Raw genomic sequence first — 15,077 nt, 5'->3', positions numbered from 1 at the left:
GATGACAGGTTGATAGGTGCAGCAAACCACCATGGCACATGTATACCTATGTAACAAACCTGCACGTTCTGCACATGTATCCCAACAAAACAAAACAAACCGCCATCCTGAAAAGGAGCGAGCGGGTCCCACTGAGCTCTTTCATGCGCCCCCTGCTGGTAACAAAAGGCTGCTGCAGGAGCCCCCTCCAGAGCCCGCTGAACACACAGCATCCGACAGTAGGTCGCTGGGTCTCCAGCGTTTGGGGCTTGCTCTTTCGGAGGGCCAGTTTCTCAGGCTATGGGGTGACTTCATGTGTGCAATCGTGCGTTTTCCCAAGGTCCAAAAAATATCCTGTGTCCCACTGAAGTAGGCAAGCAACTCTGATGCCAGCCGGCAGAAGTGGTGGGTGGGAATGTGTCTCTGCCACCCGACTTGACTCCAGGTGCCTACTTTCTTCCTAGATGGTGGTCCACGAGAGTGAAGAGTGAGCCAGCCCTTCTGGAGCAGGACAGAAGATATGCAAAATGTATATTTTCTTGATTCCTGACCATTGATACTTAATGTCCATGTGACTCTTTTTCACATGCAATAAACTTTGCTTTGTTTCAATCTGGGGCCGCTTTGCTGTATTTGTTTTCCTCTTCCCCATGCAGAAATGGTTCCTAGTTTGATGGTTTGTATGCTCGGAGGTGAAAGCTTTGTAAGCAGATGGCTCGGTAAATTCAATTGGTGTGTGCATGTGCGGAGGGAGAGATGGCTTTTGGCTTAAATCAAAAAGGAAAAAAAAAAACTTCCGGGTTAACCTTTGCTTTGGTGGGGAATGGGAGGGAGAGCTTTTCAAAAGAGTCATCTCTTAATATGACATGAAGGAAACACAAAGGTAGGCTCATGAAAAGCCCTTGTCTTGAGTTGAATAAGGTTATAAAGCAAAGGCCCACATTCTCCTTCTTTACATTCTAGTGGGGAAATACATCTGAAATCTAGTAAATATTTGTTGGGCAGCTGTTCATGTAAGCACTGTGCTATCAAAAATACATAAATGAATAAAAAAGAGGCTGGCCCCTTCAAGCGCTCAGTCTAAATCTACTACTGTTATCTTAGATCAGTGTGCACTATTTCAAAGCTGCACAACAGAAAATCCCACCCCTGACCCAAGATAACCTTGTCTTTACCTTAAGAGGGAAGGAAGGCAGGAAGTCAAATAACTATCTGGTTGACTTGCTACTAGAAAGAGCATCTTCTAGCCTGGGATCCTTTGTTTATTGTCATCAGTAAATTTATTAGCAATAGCTGCCAAGTTCCCTTCTTTGTCTGATTCCAGAAGATTAGGGGACCTAGTTTGACTCAGGTGAGAATGAAAGGCCAAGGGGTGTTCTCTCCAGATGTGGGGGAACTCAACAAATCATTTAGCTTTTTCAATAAATAAATTGCAAAGAAAAAATATAAAACAAATACAAGGGAGACCTGTAGATTAAAAGATACTTAGTGGACCTATCCGCCAATTGCACTGTGTGGACCTTGTTAGGATACTGCTTTGTACAAACACGCTGTTAAAAAATAGACACACACACACACACACACACACACACACACGGTCCAATTGGTAAATTTGACTATTGACTGGATATTGATGGTGACATGAGATTATTGTTCATTTCACGGTATAATGTGATTTTGTGATTATGCTTTCTAAGATAGTCCTTATCTTTTAAAAATACATGGTAAAGGCTGGACGCAGTGACTCACGCCTGTAATCCCGGCACTTTGGGAGGCCGAGGCGGGCAGATCACGAGGTCAAGAGATCAAGACCATCCTGGCCAACATGGTGAAACCCCGTCTCTACTAAAAATACAAAAATTAGCTGGGTGTGGTGGTGCCCTCCTGTAGTTCCAGCTACTCGGGAGGCTGAGGCAGGAGAATCGCTTGAACCCAGGAGGCGGAGGTTGCAGTGAGCCAAGATCACACCACTGCACTCCGGCCTGGAGACAGAGCAAGACTCTGTCTCAAAAAGAAAAAAAAAAGGTGGTAAAATATGTACATACCAGAAAGGAAGAGTAAGCGAGAGATCGTTGAAGTAAACTTATTTTACAGAACTTATGACTTAAAGAATTAATAAAAGAGGCCCCTGATGCATTTTATGCAGAACTGGAGTGCCTCTGCACTTGAAAATACCTGGGGCCGTGGAACCCCCTGTGTCCACTTATTGGCAAAGTGTGACATTTCCCACAAAGGAGAAGGTGCGGAGTTTGGTGCTGGAAGTGACCTGTGACTATTTCTATTAGGCTCTGATTTTGTGAAGGATATAAATGAAAAGATTCATTTTCTAAGAGTGAATATTATGACCAAAGTCACCCATGTTCATTTATTCCATAAAAAAAGGATGCCCACGACTATAGAAAATGTAAGCTGTGTTATTAAGAAGCAAAAAATGAAAGCACCAATTCCATTCCAAATCAGGAGCTGCCGTGCCACACGAGCCAGAGAGGGGGTCTCCTCCGACCATGGAGAGGAGGAGGATGAGATCAGCCACTATTTACTGAACTCCACCCATGTGCACTTGGCATGCACTCTCTCGTGCCCTCAGCATACAGACTTGGCGATGAGGAGATGGACCTTATCACCCACTTTACAGATGAAAAGACGAAACTCAGTGATTTGTTCAAGGTCAAAATGGCAGAGCTGGATTCTCTCTAGATCCTAAGACTCCTTTACCCTACAAAGTACTAACCTTCTACCGGGGCAGCCGGCCACATAGACAGGCGAAATCCCTCAAAAGAGCTGGCGCACAGGGTAAAGCTGTGTTGAAACTGGGCTGATAGAACCCAAAGCGTGCTTCGTGTTTTCTTTTTGATGATCGACTGTTTCTGTTAGCGTCCTCCAGGTGTTTCTCTATAACCCTCCTCTTGTCCACCACCTCAGCCCACCCCATCCTCAGAGAGCCTCTCTTAAGATAGGACCTTTGACCATTCAGTAGGAACTTGGGTGACTTTAGCTCATTTGCAATATCCACTGGCTCTTTCGTACATGGGCTCCAGAACAGGGTGGCAAAAGAATGAAGGGCGCCTTCTCTTCAGGCTCACTTTTTTGGGTGAGCCTCTCCAAATTAAGGACCATTTCTTATTATATTTTTTATTTTTATTGAGAAGGAGTCTCACTCTGTCACCCAGGCTGGAGCGCAGTGGTGCGATCTTGGCTCAGTGCAACTTTTGCCACCCGGTTTCAAGCAATTCTCATGCCTCAGCCTCCCAGGTAGCTGGGACTACAGGCACACGCCACCATGCCTGGCTAATTTTTTTGTATTTTTAGTAGAGACGGGGTTTTACCATGTTGGCCAGAATGATCTCGAACTTCTGACCTTAGGTGATCCACCCGCCTCGGCCTCCCAAGGTGCTGGGATTACAGGTATGAGCCACCACACTCAGCCATTAAGGGCCATTTCTAATTACTTTTCCTTTTCATAAATAGCCTTGTTTTTTCTCTTTTATTCTTTTTTTCTGGTGTTGGGACATGGAATTTATTAACCTTCTCCTTGTAATCCTCATACTATCCAGAAACCTCTGGCTTTCTGAAATTTTTATTGAGTCTTAAATCTCTTAGCAGTGGATTTGTATTTTTTATTACCTTTTATAATTTTTTAATTACACAAGAAATACATGGCCAAGCACAAGATTAAAAAAAAAAATCTGTCAACTATAAAAGGACTGCCAGCAAGGAGGGTAGACTCTTTCTTTATTTGGAACGGCTGAGATCTCGATTTATGATTGGCAGATGGCCCGCTTCTTAAGGACATGTGAGGGACACAGTTTCTAATAGGAGTAACATGTCCTTATGGGGGAAAACTGGTTGCAGTTTGCAGTCCACCACCAGCTGGTGAGGGCGGCCTTTCATTTCTCCACGCCTGGATCACCCGACAGCTGAGAGCTTTAATAAAACAAGTGTGCCTAGGAATGTGGGGTGAGCGAGCCACCCAGAACACAGATGTCTATTTACACCCCTACCAATAATCCCGGTGCTAAAAACAACAGCAGCTGGGAGGTTCTGAGGCTGCCTGCTGGATCTGAGCGGCGATCCGGTTACCCTCAGCAATGCTGAGACATTCTGGAGGCGCTCATGCCCCAACTGCTGTCCATCCGGAGCCAGGGGATGGCACAGATTATTTTTATCTCAGATGTTTCATGCTTTCCATGGCAGTGAGGAGCAAGAACTCCCAACTCCTGGGCTTTGATGAGTCTTCTTTGTGTGACATTAAACTGGACATGGCCCTTGTTCAAAAGTCCTGGGGAGATTTAGGAGGGGGACGATAGACACCCTTAGGTGGCCTTCATGGGGAAGCCTGGCGCGAACTTGCTGAGAGAAGGGGCAGCTTAGGTAAAGCATATGGAGAGGTGTCATTGACATAGGACTCCTTAGTGACTCAGGGATATGGAGACAAGATGAGGTGAAGCCTCACACCTCAAGGACAGTAAAGGAAATATAACTTTCCAAATAATAATGATGAAAGAACAAAACCAAACCAAGCCCATAGGGGTCCTGTGTGATAGAAGATGGTGACAAGGTGACACCCTTTTATAGTCAGAGAACAAAAGAAAGCCCATCTCTTGGATTGAGTTCCTAGCAGGAAAAGTCAAGTGTTGGAGCAATCTGTGTGGCCTTGGGGAAAACAATTCTTTCTCTGTTGACTTTCTGTCTCCGCATTTCGGTAATAAAGAGAGAATGATAAGGCAGAAGTGGTTCTTTTTTTTTTTTTTTTTTTGTGAGCAATCCTGGCCATGAACTTGGTTTTCTTGGCCTGGGGAGTGGGCATGGCTGTTTGCAATTCACACTGCTCAGAAGCCCGAAGAGAGGATCGAGCGTCCTGGCAAAGGCCCGGTGGGGAGGGGTGCTGCCACGCGAAGCCAGAACACCCTTAGCAAAAAGCCCAGGGCCAGCCAGAGCTTCCTGCTCCAAACTTTGCTGCTAGAAATTTCAGATCTGTGTTTCCTTGTACATGTATTCATTCATCTGTCATTTACCAACTGCCTATGCCATGCCCAGGAACAGGTGATGGGAGGAGCAGAGATACCCAAGAAAGACTGGGGAGAGGGAGCGAGGAAAGAGCTCACGTCTTAAAGCCCTAAGGCTCCAAATGAGGATGGGAGGAGGGGATGGAGGGAGACATATTTCCAAACATGGCCCAGTCTCAGCTCCAGGAGGGCAAGACGAGCATCCATAGCAGCTGTGCCTATTTTGGGCCTGGGATCTCTGTCCCAAGAGCAACAGGTGTTGAGACCTGAAGGACAGGTGGGCGTTTATTTTGAGGGCCTCCTGGCATCATTTCCAGAAACAGAGACCAGCTTTTCAATTCATTATCTCCAGCTACAATCATAAAATGTCTTCCTTTACTGCTTCCTAGTGGCCCACCAGCCTGTGGCTCTCGGAGCCTGCCTCATCACACAGGCGCACCCAGGGGGACTTGCAGGTTTCTGGGAAGGGGAGAGGTTTGGGCTATGTGCCCCTCTCTGGACTGGTGAGGGGTAAAGTGCACATTCTCCTCACAACCACATCCCACTCCTGAGAAGGCCACAGAGGAGAGAGTCAAGTCAGGAAGGAAGGACGACAACGAGGCGGATACAAGCTGGCCCTCTCTTGCCACCTCACCCCAAGGTGGGTACTCCCAGCATCTGCCTGTGCTGACGATGGAAGGACAACAGCAGCCACTTGCAGAGAATGCTATCTAAATATGAGTATAATTTCCAGCACCATCCCACGGGGCAGGCAGAGGCCGCGAGCATTCAGACGTGATGTTCCTTGCTGAAAAGTAGATTAAAAGGACATGAATTTTTACCTTTTTAAGTGACTTGCTTTCAGCCCCACAGTAAATCCCGGCTGTGTCCCGGTCTTGCATGTAGTGAGTGATCCATAAATACACACTGATTACACTCTATGTGACCACAGTTGATCTCCCATGGCCAAGAGCATGCAGCCCCGCAGGGCTCACTCTCATCCTTTGAGAATGAGGGGTTGTTTTCTCTGGGAAGACCAGCACTTCAGCTGCAACCTCAGCAGGTCCTGTTGCAAGCAGAGGGAGCCCTCAACAGGGTGTCTCCTGGCCGCCTGTCTCTTCTCCCCGCTCCTTCTCCTGTGTCCACTTTAGGGAGGGGTCAGAAGGGCAGCGCCAGCCCCAAACCTGGAACGAGTGCAGCAACGAGGGACCCCAAACTTCTAACCCCCAGAACAGCTCTACAAGCTGGGATTTGAATTCGTGGCTCACAGCCCAGGGGCATTCCACTGCTTGCTCAGGGCTGAGCACAGAGTCAGTGTTCATTCAACATTGGTTTCCTCCCAGCCTTCTTCCTTCAAGTTCTGTCTTGCCTTGTAATGCTGAGAATCCATTGCCTTCATGTCACTGTCTGAAATATGGGGGTGGAGATGAACATGAGCTTTTTTGTTTGTTTGTTTTGGTGGCTGTTGCCACCTCTGTAAGGAAATATTAATACTAGGTCTATAGTTTAAATCATCCTGTGTTGCTGAGTTAAAAAGACAGTTTGAATATTAAGTGTTACAGAAAAAGGAAGAAGCAATTTTGGGCAGTCTCTTCCTGCATGTCATGGCTCAATTGAAACGAATTTTTGGCTTGCATGGTGATATGAAGAGCTGGTGATCTGGGGTACACATGGTTCACCAACCATTTGGCCCCAAAGTGTGTAGTGTTCAAGACAGACAATGTTACAGCTGAGTCCATTCAAGTTAGTTAATACAACTTAGTCCTACTTAGGCCTATTTGAAACACAACTCTGACCTGTCACTGCTCTGCCCAGCAACTGTGAATGCCCCCTCCCGGCCCATCAGTTTAGTACACTTGCCTCAGATGGATACTTATTATTATTATTATTATTTTTGTGATAGAGTCTTGCTTTGTCACCCAGGCTGGAGTGCAGTGGTGCTATCTCCGCTCAGTGTAACCTCCACCTCCCAGGTTCAAGCAATTCTCCTGCCTCAGCCTCCCTAGTAGCCGGGACTATAGGTGCCCACCACCACACCCAGCTAATTTTTGTAATTTTGGTAGAGACGGAGTTTCACCATATTGGCCAGGCTGGTCTCGAACTCCTGACCTTGTGATCCACCCGCCTCAGCCTCCCAAAGTGCTGGGATTACAGGTGTGAGCCACCACGCCAGGCCGCCTCAGATGGATACTCAACCTGTCCTTCCACGTGTGCCCGCAGATGTGGCTCCCCTTCACTACTCCCGCCCAGCCATCTCCCCTTGAAATCTTAACACACCTCAGGCTGTCTTGGTCCTCCCCACCCACCAGTGGCTACGCCCCTATCCTTTGTGCACCTTTTTAGGGGCATTTTTAAATACTCCCTCTACTCTCCCTGAGTAGCAGTCATGACTTACACTGTCCTACTTACCTTTGTTTGTATCACAGTTCCTATTCCCAATACTTTGTATTTTCAAAGCTACACACACACAGTCATTGGAAGAACACTCAAGCAGGAATGAGAAAATCTCTGTTCCAGTCTTCACTTTCCTTCCAGTTTCTTTCATAATCTTTGGCATCTCACTCTCCAGGTTTCCGGTTCCTTACTTGAAAAACGAGAGGTCTGAACTATTCCAAGGGTTTCTAAACCTAGCTGGGCATCAGCATTGCCTGGTTTACTTTTTTTTTTTTTTTTTGAGATAGAGTCTCACCCTGTCACCCAGGCTGGAGTGCAGTGGCGTAATCTTGGCTCACTGCAACCTCCGCCTCCCGGATTCAAGCGATTCTCCTGCCTCAGCCTCCTAAGTAGCTGGGACTACAGGCACCCACCACCATACCCAGCTAAGTTTTGTATTTTTAGCAGAGACAGGGTTTCACCATATTGGCCAGACTGGTCTCAAACTCCTGACCTTGTTATCCACTCGCTTAGGCCTCCCAAAGTGCTAGGATTATAGACGTGAGCCACCATGCCTGGCTGCCTGGTTTACTTTCTTTAAAAAAAAATTCAGAATTTAGGGCTGCACCGTCAGAGATTCTGAGTCAGTAGGTTGGGTTGGAGCTGGGGAATCTGCATTGAAACGTTCCCTGGTGATTCTAATCATCTGCCTAAAGGTAAACTCTTAGAGCAGTTGTTTTAAAAAGCGGATTCCTGGGCCCAAAGCCAGATCCACAAAACGGGAATTTCCAGGGGAGAGACCTGGTAACTTGTATAGTTAATAAGCACCCAGGTGACTTTCATCATAAAGCTTGTCTGGGAAATGCAGGCCTAGATCTCTGCTACACAAAGTTTTCCAAAGACCAGCAGTATTGTGTCACCTGGGAGCTTGTCAGAACTGCAAAGTCTTAGAACCCTCCCTAGGCGACTGGATCAGAATCTGCTTTCTAATGAGATCCCTGGGTGACTGGCAGGCACAGCGGGGTTTGAGAAGCATGGCTCTAAATCAGTGATTCTCAAACTTGAACATGCCTCGGAATGCTCTGCAGGGCTTGTTGGCTGAAACCCACCTCACCAGACCCCACCTTCCAGGTTCTGATTCTCAGGTCTGGAATGGGGCTCAAGGTTTTACGGTTCTAGCAAGTTCCCTGATGATACTGATGCTGGTGGTCCAGGGACCACCCTCTGAGAACCAGGCCCTGGAGGATTTCTCAAAACTCCATGTCCAAGAGTGAAACCTCTCCATTCTGTTTTTTTTTTGTTTGTTTTTTTTTTTTTCTCTTGCTAATCTTCTCTGGCACTCAGGCACTCATAAAATCCTATTTGCCACCCTAGTGTCTAAGATTCTGGGAATTAATTAACAGTATAACCAAGTGCTAAGCTGTTGGCACAGGCAGCATTTGTTACTAAAGTTTCCAGAAAGTCACAATCTCGAGGCTGGGTGAGGACATCCCCATGGAGAAGTCCTTTCCTCCTTCCTCTCCCTCGGATTGGATATGTGGTGGTCGGTGATGCTGCTCCTGGGACTGTCATGTCAAAAGTGGCCTGGAGGCCAGGCGCAGCGGCTCACGCCTGTAATCCCAGCACTTTGGGAGGCCGAGGTGGGTGGCTCACCTGAGATCAGGAGCTCGAGACCAGCCTGGCCAACATGGTGAAACCCCATCTCTACTAAAAATACAATAATTAGCTGGGCATGGTGGTGGACGCCTGTAATCCCAGCTACTTGGGAGGCTGAGGCGGGAGAGTCACTTGAACCCGGGAGGAGGAAGTTGTAATGAGCCAAGATCATGCCATTGCACTCCAGCCTGGGTGGCAGAGTAAGACTCTGTCTGAGAAAGGAAAGAAAGAAGAAAGAAAAGAAGGGAGGGAGGGAGGGAAGTAAGGAGAGAGAGAGACAATGAAAGAAGGAAGGTGAGCCACAGCACCCTGCCATAGCTTTAAGACTTTAAAACCCAATCTTGGCAGGGGTCGGTGGCTCATGCCTGTAATCCCAGCACTTTGAGAGGCCAAGGTGGGCGGATCAGGAAGTCAAGACATCGAGACCATCTTGACCAACATGGTGAAACCCCCTCTCTACTAAAAATACAAAAATTAGCTGGGTGTGGTGGTACGAGCCTGTAGTTCCAGCTACTCAGGAGGCGGAGGCAAGAGAATCGCTTGAACCCAGGAGGCCGAGGTTGCAGTGAGCCACTGCACTCCTGCCTGGCGACAGAGCAAGATTCCGCCTCAAAAAAAACAAAAAAAACAAAAACAAAAACAAAAACAATCTCCCCACCACTTTCCATCTCCAAAAAACAAAACAAAACAAAAACAAAAACAAAAACAAAAAAAGTGGCCTGGGCCGGGCGCGGTAGCTCACGCCTGTAATCCCAGCACTTTGGGAGGCCGAGGCGGGCAGATCACGAGGTCAAGAGATCAAGACCATCCTGGCTAACATGGTGAAACCCCGCCTTTACTAAAAATACAAAAAATTAGCCGGGCACGGTGGCGGGTGCCCATAGTCCCAGCTACTTGGGAGGCTGAGGCAGGAGAATCATGTGAACCCGGAAGGCGGAGCTTGCAGTGAGCCGAGATCGCGCCACTGCACTCCAGCCTGGGCGACAGAGCGAGACTCCGCCTCAAAAAAAAAAAAAAAAAAAAAAAAAGTGACCTGGGCCGGGCGCGGTGGCTCACGCCTGTAATCCCAGCACTTTGGGAGGCCGAGGAGGGCAGATCACGAGGTCAGGAGATCGAGACCATCCTGGCTAACACAGTGAAACCCCGTCTCTACTAAAAATACAAAAAGCTGGGCGCGGTGGCGCGTGCCTGTAGTCCCAGCTACCGGGAGGCTGAGGCAGGAGAATGGCGTGAACCCTGGAGGCGGAGCTTGCAGTGAGCCGAGATCACGCCACTGCACTCCAGCCTGGGCGACAGAGCGAGACTCCGTCTCAAAAAAAAAAAAAAAAAAACAAAGGGGGGGGGCGGCCTGGAGCTGCCAACAGGAGACTGTTTTGTCGCTCGGAAGCTGATTTCTCACACCCGTCCCTGGAAATGGAAACTTGGGCACAAGTTCTGAAGAATATGCAAGCCACAGAGACAGACGGTCTGTGCTGACCCTCCTGTTTCATAGATGAGGACAAGGAGGGGCGACTGCTTCCAGGTCACCCCATCTGCCTGTGGCGGTGCTAAGACTGTGCATGGGAATTTTCTGCCTGCAGGAAAAATCAGTCTCAGCAACACTGACTCTTCCCTGCTCCTGCCTCATCTGTTCATTCAGCCTCCCTGCTGCCCCACCTCAGCTCCGCCCGTGCAGCTGCCCATGCAGAGGCTCCCGTGCTCCTGTGCTCTGGAAAACCCTCTCTTCCGGACAGCTTCTGGCCCTCTCTGTTGCTCTGTCTGGCATCACCCTTCATGCCTTGGCACTAGAGCCTCCCAAAGTGCTGGGATTATAGGCGTGAGCCACTAGGTGGCACTGCTGCTCTGCCAGGCATCAGGGTCTCTAGCCTGGCCTCACCCTGAGTGCTAAAGTTCTTGAGGTGCCAAAGCTGACTGGTGGCTCCTGCAAGGTGTGGGTGAAAAATAGAAGACTCCCTTACAGAAGTCCAGAGCCGTGCTGTGCCACAGAGGAGTAAAGGCAAGAGAAGCCATTTAGGCTCATAAAGGCAGGAACACCCATCCCATCTTCATTTAAAATTTTGTTAATCATGGGTGTTTTTTGCACTAACCTTGATTTTAAAAAGTATTGCAATACAATATGATTAATTTTGATTATTGAGCTTTTTCTGGTTTTTTTTTTTTTGGTTTTTTTTTTTTTTTTTTTTGAGTTGGAGTCTCACTTTGTCGCCCAGGCTGGAGTGCAGTGGCACGATCTCGGCTCACTGCAAGCTCCGCCTCCTGGGTTCAAGCAATTTTCCTGCCTCAGCCTCCCTAGTAGCTGGGATTACAGGTGCGCGGCACCATGCCCAGCTAATTTTTGTATTTTTACTAGAGACTGGGTTTCACCATGTTGGCCAGGCTGGTCTTGAACTCCTGACCTCAGCTGATCCACCCGCCTCGGCCTCACAAAGTGCTGGGATTACAGGCATGGGCCACCGCACCTGGCCTTGATTAATGAGGGTTTTTTGCAGTCCCCTTAGATTTTGTGCCAAAGAGGGTGCCTCACTTGCCTCCCTCTAGTCCGGGCTTGGGCCGCAGCAATGTGGTTTGTGGCCCAGCATCTTGAAGAGTTATGGCAATAGCTATTTTCTGCCTTTACGGAAGGCCCTTTTTCTCTGTGAGATCCCAGTGCTGGGCTGGGGCAGATATGAGGGCAGCCACCATGCCTAGGGACAGAGGTGTTGGGCTGGGTCAGTTCACTGTCACTGGCTGGAACCAACTCCCCGCAAGCCCCTTATTCTCCCTGTGAAGCCCCTTCTGCCAGCCCATACCCGCAGGTCCCCAGAGAGTCCTGAATTCCGGAACTGCCACTGCCTGGCCGCATGCTAAAGCTACCAGAAAGAGAGAGGTCTCTGGCCCCCGGCCAGCGTGTCACCCTGCCTTCTGGAACATTCCCCTGCCCTCTACATGGCTGGAGTAAATTCACTTCCTGGGGGAGTTAAAGGCCTGTAACTCCTTCATGGGCACTGTTTAAGCTCCTGTTTCTTCTCTCTCTCCTATTTTTAGAGGGACCTATTTTGTTGTCTCTATCTTAATGAGCTGGTATGTTTTGTAGCTTCTGGTGACATCTCTTTTAATGCTCCTACTTTCTCTCCATGGGTCCAGTCTCCCCCTGCAGAGTACAGTGAAAGAAAATAAAATGAAACAATCTGCTCACCGAACCCACAGAAATGGCAGGGTCTAAGCACTCAGTCACTCCAAACCTTGGCTTAGAGCCACCTGAGGAGCTTTCAAAATTCCCAATTCCCAGGTCCCACCCGAGACCAATTAAATCAGAATATCCGGAGGTGCAGCCCCAGGCATCAGTAGATTGCAATACCCTAAATCTCCAGATGAAAACAATACCCAGCCAAGGGTGGGAACCAGGGCACCAAAAACAGACCTGGGTTTTACAGAGCCAAGGCTGCCACCTAGAGGCAGGAGTGGGTACTGCAGCCCACTGGTAGGATCACAGACTGGGAGACCGGAATATCAAAGGCTTTGCTGGAGTGTAGGGCGCAATCATGACCCGCAGCAGCCTCAACCTCCCAGGCTCAAGCGATCCTCCTGCCTCAGCCTCTGGGACTACAGGCGCACGCCACCATGTTTTTGTTTGTATGTTTGTTTGTTTGTTTGTTCTGCTTTGTTGTTTTTTTTTTGAGACGGAGTCTCTGTCGCCCAGGCTGGAGTGCAGTGGTGCCATCTTGGCTCACTGCAAGCTCCGCCTCCCGGGTTCACGCCATTCTTCTGCCTCAGCCTCCCAAGTAGCTGGGACTACAGGCGCCCGCCACCATGCCCGGCTAATTTTTTTTATTATTATTTTTAGTAGAGATGGGGTTTCACTGTGTTAGCCAGGATGGTCTCGATCTCCTGACCTCGTGATCCGCCCGCCTTGGCCTCCCAAAGTGCTGGGATTACAGGCGTGAGCCACCGCGCTCGGCCGCACACCACCATGCTTTTTAAAATTTTTTTGTGGAGACAGAGTCTCACTACGTTGCCCAGGCTGGTCTTGAACTCCTGGGCCCAAACGTTCCTCCAGCCTCAAGCCTCCCAAAGTGCTGGGATTACAGGCGTGAGCCACAGCACCCTGCCATAGCTTTAATATTTTAAACCCCAATCTTCTCCCCACCACTGACTCTCCTGTATAAACATCCCAGTAACTTCCAGCTTAAGTTCTTTCAAAGTTATCCCACTTTTTCCAGCAGAAGGCAGCCCCTCCTGGCTAGCAAGATGCTTTGTCACACAGCTGAACTCCCGTTTTGAGAACTCCACCTCCTGACCCTGGGTCTGGGCGCTGGAGACACACACGGAATAAATCTGCTCTCTTGGATCTTCCAGGGTCATTAGACAGCCACCATACTCCTATGAACCCCTGTTCTCTCAAGGTGAAGGAGCTCCAGTTCCTGTATCCTGCCTCCTCCTTCCTAGGCTGGCAAGATCCCTTCATCAGGGATGACACCCAGAATTTAGTCTACAATTTAAAAAAGAATTATAGAGATAATATATGCTCATTATAAAAATACATTTGTAAAACATAAAATAGAAAGTGCCCCTCCCTGTCCATTCTCCTCAATTCCACTGTCTGAAGGATGGACTGGGGTAAGGTGAGGAGGTGCCATTGTTAACAGGTTGGTGGCACCCAAAACTGAATGTCATACCTATCTATCTATCTATCTATCTATCTATCTATCTATCATCTATCTATCTGCCTACCTATCCATCTATCTGAGACAGGGTCTCACTCTCACCCAGGCTGGAGTGCAGTGGTGCAGTGGCGCCATCTCAGCTCACTGCAGCCTAGACCTCCCTGGCTCAAGTGTTCCTCCTGCTTCAGCCTCCCCAGTAGCTGGGACCACAGGCACTCGCCACCACGTCTGGATAATTAAAAAAAAATTTTTGTATAGACAGGGTATCACTATGTTGCCCAGGCTGGTCTCAAACTCCTGGGCTCCAGAAATCCTGCCCCGTCACCTTCCCAAAGTGCTGGAATTACAGGTGTGAGCCATCGCACCCAGCTGAATGTCATAGTCTTGCAGCAAGAATAACAGCGCCTCTCTGAGCCTCAGTTTCCTCCTCGGTAACGTGAATAATTATAGTACCTGCCTTAAAAGATTTCTGCTACGAAGCAAATTCAAGGCCCTGCATGATGCCTGTCACATGTTATAACTATAACTGAATTGTCTCAGACAATGGGTGGAACCAGATGGAGTCTTGAAGTACATTGACTTTTCCTGCTTATTACACTCACATCACAGCAGAACTGGGTTCATGTGAGTTAGTAAAATTAGTCCTAAAGCCCCAGTGCTGAGGAGAGCTGAGGAGAGTGGTGAGGAAAAGGAGCTCCCACACCAGTCCTTTTAAACCCAGGTGCAGTTGATGGAAATGACCACCAGAAGGCAGGGTTGGGTCACTTATGAGGGGAATCACTTTATGGTCTGTCAAATGCAGGCCCACCAGGGTAGCTGCGGTGGAGGCTGCCTCAATTCTAACCACCTTGGGCTGAGCCTGGGGGTGTCCTGTCTGCTAATCTGCCCAGGTCTGAGCTCAGCAGAATCCCTTAGTGTCAGGTTATCCAAAAGTGGATGTGCCCAGACTCTTCTCTGATTCCCGTCTGCAACTGAGGGTCACTGCAACATATTCAGACTCCAGTTCTGACGTCCCACCACAGGTCCTGCACCTGCATCGTGCCCCTTCCACTCACTCACCTGCACCTGTGGCAGAGCAATCGTAAATTACAGCATTTCCCGCCAAGCCTGGCCTGAGAATCTCTCTCAGCCTCTCATGACGGACCGTGGCTACCGACCGCTCAGTGACATCAGCGGCACCGTCATTCAGCAGATATTTCTGGTACCTCTATGTGCCAAGCACTGTTCTACTTGCCATCCCTTCCCCAGCCCAAGTCAGGCCCAACCAAGGATCAGTTTCTCTGACACGGACTGAAATTTCTTGGTCTCTCCAAATTCAGAATGAACCTGGGCTACTCTCTGCAAGGGTGCCCCCACACTTACGGGCTTACCCTGACAACAGGCATAAGATGAGAAGCCCCCCAACCTGAAATTCCCATACTATACTGTAGTTGGACCCTGC

At 48.8% G+C, this 15,077-nt stretch overlaps 1 protein-coding gene and 1 long non-coding RNA gene across 5 annotated transcripts in view, besides 3 other annotated features; one reads left to right on the top strand and one right to left on the bottom strand.

Annotated features, from left to right (window-relative positions):
• Positions 1–591, top strand: part of MYH3 (myosin heavy chain 3) — a 49,886-nt gene extending 49,295 nt beyond the window's left edge. For all 4 annotated transcript variants that reach the window (XM_011523870.4, XM_047436127.1, NM_002470.4 and 1 more), the window contains one exon: positions 444–591. In XM_011523870.4, the coding sequence (XP_011522172.1) occupies positions 444–470 (27 nt within the window). In that variant the 3' untranslated portion in view covers positions 471–591. The remainder of the gene's footprint in view (positions 1–443) is intronic.
• MYHAS (myosin heavy chain gene cluster antisense RNA) overlaps positions 3,583–15,077 on the bottom strand; it is a 242,409-nt gene continuing 230,914 nt past the window's right edge. The window contains exon 11 of the long non-coding RNA NR_125367.1: positions 3,583–6,371. This is a non-coding gene — a long non-coding RNA (myosin heavy chain gene cluster antisense RNA). The remainder of the gene's footprint in view (positions 6,372–15,077) is intronic.
• Positions 10,141–10,641: an enhancer, noted in NCBI's record as "H3K4me1 hESC enhancer chr17:10521799-10522299 (GRCh37/hg19 assembly coordinates)". NCBI's record gives its function as "activates a minimal SCP1, AML or CMV promoter by ChIP-STARR-seq in naive H9 embryonic stem cells {active_cell/tissue: H9 hESC(naive)}" and the evidence as "EXISTENCE:reporter gene assay evidence [ECO:0000049][PMID:30033119]".
• Positions 10,642–11,142: an enhancer, noted in NCBI's record as "H3K4me1 hESC enhancer chr17:10521298-10521798 (GRCh37/hg19 assembly coordinates)". NCBI's record gives its function as "activates a minimal SCP1, AML or CMV promoter by ChIP-STARR-seq in naive H9 embryonic stem cells {active_cell/tissue: H9 hESC(naive)}" and the evidence as "EXISTENCE:reporter gene assay evidence [ECO:0000049][PMID:30033119]".
• Positions 11,145–11,645: an enhancer, noted in NCBI's record as "H3K27ac hESC enhancer chr17:10520795-10521295 (GRCh37/hg19 assembly coordinates)". NCBI's record gives its function as "activates a minimal SCP1, AML or CMV promoter by ChIP-STARR-seq in naive H9 embryonic stem cells {active_cell/tissue: H9 hESC(naive)}" and the evidence as "EXISTENCE:reporter gene assay evidence [ECO:0000049][PMID:30033119]".

Source organism: Homo sapiens, chromosome 17 (genome assembly GCF_000001405.40).
Source record: "Homo sapiens chromosome 17, GRCh38.p14 Primary Assembly".
In the NCBI taxonomy this organism is placed as follows: Eukaryota; Metazoa; Chordata; class Mammalia; order Primates; family Hominidae; genus Homo; species Homo sapiens.
This window is presented reverse-complemented; position numbering and strand designations above follow the sequence as displayed.